The sequence below is a fragment of the Homo sapiens genome, chromosome 3, assembly GCF_000001405.40.
Source record: "Homo sapiens chromosome 3, GRCh38.p14 Primary Assembly".
Classification (NCBI taxonomy): Eukaryota; Metazoa; Chordata; class Mammalia; order Primates; family Hominidae; genus Homo; species Homo sapiens.
The window spans coordinates 44615260-44625035 of record NC_000003.12 but is presented as its reverse complement, the minus strand read 5'-3'; the positions used below and the strand labels follow the sequence as shown (position 1 = coordinate 44625035).

The 9776-nt window shown below is 41.4% G+C and overlaps 1 protein-coding gene and 2 long non-coding RNA genes across 8 annotated transcripts in view; 2 read left to right on the top strand and 1 right to left on the bottom strand.

Moving 5' to 3' along the window:
- ZKSCAN7-AS1 (ZKSCAN7 ZNF cluster antisense RNA 1) overlaps window positions 1-9776 on the top strand; it is a 128297-nt gene that overhangs the window by 60618 nt on the left and 57903 nt on the right. The gene's annotated exons all lie outside the window — the stretch shown is intronic.
- ZNF660-ZNF197 (ZNF660-ZNF197 readthrough) overlaps window positions 1-9776 on the bottom strand; it is a 63508-nt gene that overhangs the window by 23436 nt on the left and 30296 nt on the right. The gene's annotated exons all lie outside the window — the stretch shown is intronic.
- Window positions 239-7908, top strand: ZNF197-AS1 (ZNF197 antisense RNA 1). The gene is made up of 2 exons (NR_046658.1): window positions 239-314; window positions 7362-7908. It is a non-coding gene; the product is annotated as a ZNF197 antisense RNA 1 (long non-coding RNA).

Sequence of the window (9776 nt, the reverse complement as noted above, 5' to 3'; positions counted from 1 at the left end):
GCCGAGCCGAGAATACTGCGACTTCCGGTTGCACCCCGCCCCTCATCCCGGATCTCTAGGAAGCCACATCTCTATGGTTCGTTTCTTTTCCCAGAACTGGGGAAGAGAGGCGGAACTCCTGAGCCCTTGGGTACTAGTGTTCCTTACATCGAACAAGAACTGGCCGCTGTTTCAGACCGGAAGGGTGCAGAGATGAAAGACAGGACCCAGGGTCTCAGGATGCCTGTTGCCTCCTAAGAGAGTTGGACATTTCTATTTTGATTTGCATTTCAATTGAGGTTGATAGGGAGTGACCTTCACGTCTGAATGACCTGGTAGGTGACTTTTCTGGTCTCTTCTTGAACTTATGCAATTCTCACTATAAATAATAACATGACTTATAAATCACCCTCTTGTGAATTCGCTTACTGTGGTGTATCTCTTGCCCACATGATGACATATTGGAGCTATGATATTAAATAATAATCAAGTTGATGGTGCAAGGTAATGTGCAAATGGTAGGGACATCTCTCCCCTGAAAGAAGAGGTTATTCTAGCTGTCCATCGCCCTGGGTAAAGTCAGGTGTATATAAAGGAAACTGGCACTCTGATCCTCTCTTTGGTCTTCAGTCTCTTAAGTTTGGACTTCTGGAACTGACACCCCTATATGGGACTATGGCTGAAACAAGTCTCCAAAAGGGCAAAGGCCATGTCTGCATGGATCCCATGTATTTAGCACCTAGTACAAAGCTGAAGCCATATAGGTTGTAGATGAATGTTTATTCAATGAGCAAGGTTCATGTTATTCTGTTTATGTCTTTTTTTTTTTTTTGAGATGGAGTTTTGCTCTTGTTGCCCAGGCTGGAGTGCAGTGGCGCAATCTTGGCTCACTGCAATCTCCACCTCCCGGGTTCAAGCGATTCTTCTGCCTCAGCCTCCTGAGCAGCTGGGATTACAGGCACGTGCCACCATGCCTGGCTATTTTTTTTTTTTTTTTTTTTTTTTAGTAGAGACGGGGTTTCACAATGTTGGCCAGGCTGGTCTTGAACTCCTGACCTCAGGTGATCCACCCCCACCTTGGCCTTCTAAAGTGTTGGAATCACAGGCGTGAGCCACCGTGCCAGGCTTATTCTGTTTATTTCTTTATGTTCTCTCCTGGCATTCATTAAACAACATACTTAAACTTCAGCCTTGATTCATTCATTCATTCAACTACTGAGTACTTGCCATATGCCAAATACTGTTCTGGGCACTAGGGACATAGATAAAGAGGTAAAGTCTCTGTTCTCATGGGGCTTACATTTCTAGTGGGATAAACAGAAAACAAATATAAAAATGTGTCAGGTGGTGGTAAATGCTAAGAAATGTGAAAGCTGATCATAAGAATTGGGTCATTTTTGTCATACCTAATAAAAGAAAGTCGAGAAATTAGCTGGGGGAAGCACTCAGGGTACACAACATTGCTCCAGGAATGTTATTCTCTGTAAGCTTGACTGCTGAAACTGCTTATTATAAGCCAAAACCAGTTTTATCTATAGCTTCTGAGATAAGTTGCTGCAACTCTAGGACTAATTTTGCCCACCGCAGTTGCTCACCAACTGGAGCTTGTCAGCTCCCCACACCCTTACTACTGCCAATGAACTTTCTCAAAGAGCAATATGTAACATTCCTCCTTTTTGTAAAACCTCTAACCTTCTCTTTGTTCTTCAGAGAGAGCACCACTTTCAGTTCAAGCCAGAGACTATCTCTCCGAGTTTGTAAACTGATGTTGTGAATAAAACTTTCTTTTCTTTCTTTCTTTCTTTTTTTTTTTTTTTTTTTTGAGATGGAGTCTCACTCTGTCGCCCAGGCTGGAGTGCAGTGGCGCGATCTCGCTCACTGCAACCTCCGCCTCCCGGGTTCAAATGATTCTCCTGTCTCAGATTCCTGAGTAGCTGGGATTACAAGCGCACGCCACCATGCCTGGCTAATTTTTTGTATTTTAGTAGAGATGGGGTTTCACCGTGTTGCCCAGGCTGGTCTCAAACTCCTGAGCTCAGGCAATCCACCCGCCTCGGCCTTCCAAAGTGCTAGGATTACAGGTGTGAGCCACTGTGCCGGCCAACTTTCTTTTCTACTATCTAGCCATCCTGGTGGTCCTTTGGATGACATAAAAAAGGGTAAGGAGGACCCAACAAAGGAGACTGAGAAGCAGCAGCCAATCAAGTAGGAAGAGAAGAAGGAAATAGTACTTTATGGGTCTCAAAGTATGAATGAGTAGATTTTGAAATATTGATCAATGTGATTGCTGTTCCCCCCACACTAAATTATAATTTTACTTGTAAACCAAGGCTCCCTTCTCCTCCCCTGCCCTACCTAGGTAGACAGGAGTTACACACTATGGGACTGGAAACAAAAGTGACAAAAACGATAGTGAGTTAGGCCATTAGAAGCCTTTAGTAAGGTGAAAAACATTCTTGCCTTGCTGGGAAAGAAGAAAGGAATGGGAGGAGCCAAAATGACCAACTAGACTATGGACCACTGACCAGTGAGCCTGTAATCATTCACACTCCTACTAAGCAATGGCCCGGAAGCATGTAACCAAAGAGTTGTCAGCTGGTAAGAACCACCAGTTGCCAGTGGCCAGCCCAGAGCCTCAGTTTTGTCACTCAGTTTGTGCCCTGAGATTCTGCCCATCTGACAAAGAACTTGAAGCACCCTCACCACTGTCCCAAGATGAAAGACTTGGTAACCTTGTGGAATGATGGTGATAGGAAAGGAACACCCTATCTTTGACCAAGGTGGAACTATACAAAACCTGTTTAAAGTGGGCCAGAGCTCTGGGACAGTGGTATAATACAACACATAGCCTTTGTTTTACATACACACACATTCCTGGTATTTAAAATCCCCAAATGTACTGGTGAAAAAAACTAAGCAAACAAGAAATAAATGAGTTTGAGATAGGCATATGAGAAGAGGCTGGAAGCACAGGACTGACATTTCAAGATGGGTTAAGATCTTAGACTACTGATCAACTAAAATGGAAATCCCGGTCTGAATGGAAAGTTTGTATTTCTCATCTTTCTATAAAACCCCACTTTGCCAGAGTTGTTTTTAATGCAAATTGGAATGTGATTGACCTATGACCAAGGATTATATGTATATAATATATATGGCTAAGAAATCTCAAGACATGCAATCTGAAGACCCAGGAGAGCTGAAGGTATAGTTGTAGTCCAAGATCTATAGGCCTAAGAAGCAGAAAAGCTGCTGGTGTAACTTCCAGTCTGAGTCCTAGTCGGAATCCAAATGTGTTAGTCTGTTCTCGCACTGCTATAAAGAAATGCCTGAGATTGGGAACTTTATAAAGAAAAGAGGTTTAATTGGCTCACAGTTCTGCAGGCTGTACAGGAATCATGGTACCATCTGCCTCTGGGGAGGCCTCAGGGAACTCATGGGGGAAGGCAAAGTGGGAGCAGATGTCTTATGTGGCAGCAGAAGGACCAAGGGTCGGGGGAGGAGGGAGGTGCTACACACTTTTAAACAACCAGGTCTCACTCACTATCTCAACACAGAGCCAAGGGGTAAAGCCATCCCTATGATCCAATCACCTCCCATCAGGCCCCACCTCCAACATTGGGAATTACAGTTTGACATGAGATTTGGGCGGGGACAGAAATCTAAACCATATCACCAAAGGTGGGAGAAGACCAATGTCCCAGCCAGAAGACAGGCAGAAAGAGCAAATTCTCTCTCAGTCTTTTCCTTCTACTCACATCTCCAATGGCTTGGATGAGGCTCACTCATGTTAAGGAGGGCAATCAGTCTACAGATTCAGATGTTAATCTCATCCAGAGATACCCCCACAGACACTCAGAATAATGTTTAGCCAAATGTCTGGGCACACTATGGCCCATTCAAGTTAACATGTAAAATGAACTATCACATATGGATTCTTCCAAATACAGTTCAGGGCATTAGTTATTTAAAGATTTTCTAGGCACTGAAGGGCATCCACAGTGGTTAGATTAGGCTAGTGTCACTTAAAAGGATCCATTTCAGATCTGAATGTCTGTCTTGGACAACTTCACCCCCTTATCTTTACATCCTCAGAGAGGGATCTTGTAGAAATGAGGGAGTAACAGCAAACGGAAAGTTGGAGAAGGGGACAGGCCACCTGTGAAAGGCCAATCATGCTGGGAGCAGAGAGGGGTAAATCCAGTCCAGACTGGAAAGCTTGAGGGAAGACAGAACAGCCATATTCTTTGCAATTTGGAGGGAGGTAGAAATCCCATTGCCTATCCTTTTACCCTCATCGGAGTCCTACCTGGAGAGGCTGTAAAAGGCACATAGTCATTGGTAGGAGTAGAGGGATCACAAAATCAGAGGACCTGAGCTTGGAGTGCCTATGGCTTTGACAGGAGCTTTAGAATCTGAAAGGCTAAAGGGGCTGTTATGGCCCTAGCAGGAAAGGAAAGGAAGTGGGATACTGGGGGATCTGCTTTGGTCTTTCTGTAGCCTTTCTCAAGGGCTAGATGAAAATGAAAATCTCAGGTTGTTCCGAATTGGTTTCTAGGCCAGCCCTCTATTACTAGGCTGATGATGCTACAACGAATCAAAAGATCATTGACCCCTGATAGAGGTCTTTACTAGTGCCAAAATCTACCCAGCTGCACTTTCTGCATCCCACCCCCAACACACACACACACACACACACACACACACACACACACACACACACACACACATACATGCACACACACACAGACTCAATTTTCAACAGTATATAATTGGCAATCACAGAACATTTCAGTTGAATTAAGATAGAGTTCAAACCAGAAGAGTGAGGCAAAGCTAGAATATTAGAAAAAAAATAAAGCATATAAAAATTACTTGCTATGTGTCAGCCCCTTTCACATGGTTAATTTCATTTACTCCTTACATGAACCCTTTGAGACAGATAATATTGTGACAGTTTTGATGATACTGAAACTAAGGGTGAGTAAGTTTAAGTAATTTGTTAAAATACCTTCCTAATAACCAGTGAGGCTTTGAAATCCAAGGCAAATGCTGTTTCCACCACTATATTTAGGCTTTTGTACACCCAGAAGCAAGAAAATCATTCAGGAGACTGAGGCAAGACACAGGTAGGGAAAAGGGGGAGAAAAGTCAGGACAGCCAGCATGAAGAGTGTCTTCAGCCTCCTGAATACTTTAGCTGTGGTCGGGCCTTGGACAACTCATGCTAATTTGAATGCAGAGAAGCATTAATATGTTGTGTTCACTGGGAATGCATCTAAGGCTTTGATAATCGTTAGGGGTGGGAGGCAGGGAGGCCTGCTATCTTGGCTTATACCCACATGGACTTTTATATAGAAGGTCATAACTCTTGAATACATTCTGCTCTAGAGAGGCCCAAAAGTGGTAATTCTAAAGTCAGTCTAGTATCTCCTAGCCTTAGAGGTGTCTGGGTGTCTGGGGAGTAGAACAAATGTAACTGAGGCCCTTCCCAGTCCAAGATATTCTGCAGATACTTTACTTTTGGGTACTGGAAAACAATGGAAGTAGTTACCACACAGGTAAAGGGAATATTTTAAAACACTAAAATTCTTTGATGCTAAAAGCATAGTAAAAGAAGCATCTGCTTATTACCTAAAACAGATGTTCTTTGTATTCTCTACCACAGTCACCTCTGCCCACCTATGATTTTCATGCAGCTGTGGGAGAATGGATGTAGCCATCCTGACAGAGTCCTGTCTCAAGCATACACCATAACATCTTAGGCTGTTTTGTTGAAGGCTTCCTCTGGAAGTTCAGAAGCCTGTTCAGCCAGGTCTTAGGCACAAACTGGAAGAAGTGGATAAGAGTAACATCCCCTCAGGCAAACCTGAAAGAATGATAAATAAGAATTGGTACACAAATGCCCCAACGTCCTGTCCTTTGACAAGAAAAGTCTGAGCTATGTTCTACATGGGCCCTTAGAGGGCCCCTAGTGAAAATGAGCCTCAGTTGCCCACAGTGGATCCAGCTCAATTACTCATTCTTTGTTGGCTTTCGACCTTCCCTGTCTTATCCTTCCTGCTCACTGCCTCTTGCTCCTTAAGATCACCTTCAAAATAATCTACTCCACCTATATCCTTGTCTCAGGCTCTGCTGTTGGAAAAACCTAAACTTATAATCAATCTTTTAAATTCAAACAAGGTTGGGGGATTTGACAATGCCCAATTTTGTGAACACCCATTTATTAGTCTGGTTGAAGACTAATTTTCTTTTTCCAGAGGAGGCTCCAGAAGCCAGTCCTTTACCTTCTTTCTAAGTAGATAGGCCTTTACACAGATACACAGACAATGAGCTATTTAGTACATCTTGTCTTCCTGAATTATACACTAATGAGGAAAATGGAGGATCTTAGCCAGAGGGGAATCGTGAGTTCAAAGTTCTCACCACTGTGGGAAGAGATGCAAGCTCTACAGGCTAGACCAGATGGTGGAAAACTGGGCCTCCCGGAGACTATGCCTTGATGCAGGGTAGTCCAGGAGCCAAAGCAGCAAAAGTAAATGAATCTTTGTGCCGGTGTTCCACTGTAAATACAACCCAGCTGCTCCCAGCATTTATTTTCTATTTCTTTACTTCCCACCACTATCCAGCTTCTTCACTCTGAATCTTCTGTCCCTTTCATTAGTCCTTCTTATTACAATTTCTGTCCCTTCATGCTTACTGCTTGCTGCGGCTCCTAATGATGTGGCTTCTCTCCATCCACAATTTCTGCTTCAGCTCCTGTTCTTAATTTCCTCATTTCTGCCCTACTTCCAATTCAGAATTTCCTTAGAAAGGGATTCCAATTGGTAGAGTCATTAAATATTGTCTTTGTTTGGGCAGAGCTTTGACCTCAGGCCACACTCTGCAGGATAATTAAAAGGAACCAACATATTCATGTTTAGTAATCATGACCATAATTACTCTGCCTTCTGTATTTGACTTGAGATGTTTGCTATCCCTCTCTCTGCAACATCTTTTCAGAGAACTATGGAACCATACAATGTTATGGTTGGAAATGAATCTACAGTTCATCATTTTACTAAAGATCTTACCTCTGTAAGACCACATCATCCTTTGTAAACTTGTCACTTGCCCTCCAGTTGGCCTTCTAACTTCGTTGTGATGGCTCAGTATCTGTTTGTCCCTGATATCTTCTTTTACCTTCCACCGATAAACTTCTCTCCCTCTTTTTTTCCTGCCCATGGAGAAAAAATTGAGCTACTAACACTTCACTCTTGTTCTAAATATGTCATCTCCTTCTACACCCATAATCTGACATTTTTTTTTTAAGGTCTCTTGATGATACTGTTTCCACAAGACAAAAAAAAATGAGTAAAACTGTTTTCTGCTTACTTTTGACAGCAGATGAGAACAGAATAGACTTGATTATGAAGCAAGAAATTTTTAAAGGATTTATCTGATGGAACATCAAGAGGATTCTTTCTTTCTTTTAAGAGATATGAGGTCTCACTCTGTCATAGTGGCACAATCATAGCTCAGTGCAGCCTTGAACTCCTGGGCTCCAGCGATCCTCCTGCCTCAGCCTCCCAAGCAGCTGGGACTACAGATGAATACCATCATGCCCCCAGCTAGTAAGAGGGTTCTATGTGTTGATTCACTGGGAAACCAGAGACTAGAGATACCTGTGAAGACACTTTCAAGAAGTTAGAAGAATTACCCTTGAATGAAGAAAGGAGCTGACTAGAAGTAGTTTATTGAATAACACACAAAGATTGTTTCAAACCTACAAAAGATAAATGTGAGGAAGGGATTTGGGGAATCCTCCTATGTCCTCCAGTCTGGCTATACATTAGGATGGAACAGAAATCCTACCAATGTGATGAATGTGGCAAAGCTTTCAGAGTGCATACCTCAATGGCCATCAGAAAACCTATACTGGAGTGAAACCCTGTGAATGAATGAGTATTATAAGACATTCAGGTAGAATTTTCCATTTTTATGTCAGACATTTTTATCTCTAGAAATCGAATTTTAATTTTTTTAATATCTTTTGTGTCTGCTAAACAAATTCAATCCTTCCCCTTGATTTTTGCTTATATAGTCATAATATCATTAATATCCTTGTTTGTTGATTCTTTGTGTCAGTTCTAGGTCAGTTTTGAATAACTGATTTTTCTCATCAATACAGGTTGTATTTTCCTATTTGTTTACATGCCTAGTAATAACTGTATGTCAGACATTTTCCATTTTACCTTGTTGGAGACAGAATACTTTTCATTCCTATAACTATTCTAGGGAGTGGAGGATGCAGTTAAGTTACATTAGGTCAGAGAACATACTTTGTATTATTTAAATCCTTCTGATGTATTAAGGTTTGTTTTTTTACCTTGTATATGATTTGTCCTGAAGAATGTTCCTTGTGTGCTGGAGAGGAAGGTATATTCTGCTATTCTTCAGTGGCATGTTCTAGGGCTATATTAGGCCTAGTTGGTTAATAGGGTTCAAGTCCTCTATTTCCTTATTGATCTTCTTTCTGGTGTTAAACTATTATTGAAAATGGGCTATTGAAGCCTCCAACTATTATTGTTTGAATTGTCTATTTCCCTGCTGCATCTCTTTCAGTGTTTGTTTAATGTATTTTGGGGGTATTTCAGTAGCTGAATATACATTTGTCATTGTTATATCTTCCTGATGAATTGACACCTGTATTGTTATAAAATGCCCTTTTTTATCTGAAATAGTATCTTGTTTTGGTTTTAAAGTCTAATTTGTCTTGTATATAACCACTCGAGCTTTCTTATGGTTGCTATTTGCAAAATACATCTTTTTCCATCCTTTTACTTTTAATCTCTTTGTATCTTTGAAACTAAACTGTGTCTCCTGTAAACAGCATATAATTGGATCTTATTTTTTTATCCAGTCTGACAATATCTGCTTTTTCATTGGATTGATTAATCCATTCACATTTTATTATTGATACGGGGTTTCTTTTTAGACCACATTTCATCTGGAAGAAGATATAGTTGGATTTACGTCTGCCATTTTACTTTTTTTGTTCTCTTTATCTTATTATTATGAACCCATTCCTTTTTTTTTTTTTTGACAGGGCCTCACTCTGCCCCCAGACTGGAGTGCGGTGACATGATCATGGCTCACTGAAGCCTTGAATTCCTGGGCTCAAGTGATCCTGCTGCCTCAGCCTCTCAAGTAGCTGGGACTATAGGCATGCACCACTATGCCCAGCTAACTTTTTAAAATTTTTAGTAGAGATGAGGTCTCACTATGTTGCCCATGCTGGTCTCAAACTCCTGAGCTCAAGTGATCCTCCCACCTTGGCTTCCCAAAATGCTAGGATTGTGCATTTTCTGCCCCAATCATAGAATCAACCACTTTTTTAAAGGGCCCTAGTTCCCTTTAGAGGGAAATGGTGTTTCAGGACTGCAATTTTGGTGTGAAGGGTGCTCACTGCTCCTGGTAGATCTTTGTTTCTAGGTATTTTCAGTGGAAAGGGCGAGAACAAATTTTTTCTTTTTCTTTTTAGTTGGCACATAATAATTGTACATATTTATGGGACACAGGGTGATATTTTGATATGTATATACAATGTGTAATGACCAAATCACGGTAATTAGCATATCCATTACCTGAAACATTTATCATTTCTTTGTGTTGTGAACATGCAAAATCCTCTCCTCTATGTTTTTAAAAATATACAATAATTTCTAGTTAATTATATTCACCCTACAGTGCTGCAGAACACCAGAACTCCTTCCTCCTATCTAGCAATAATTTTGTGTCTATTAAGCAATGTTTCCC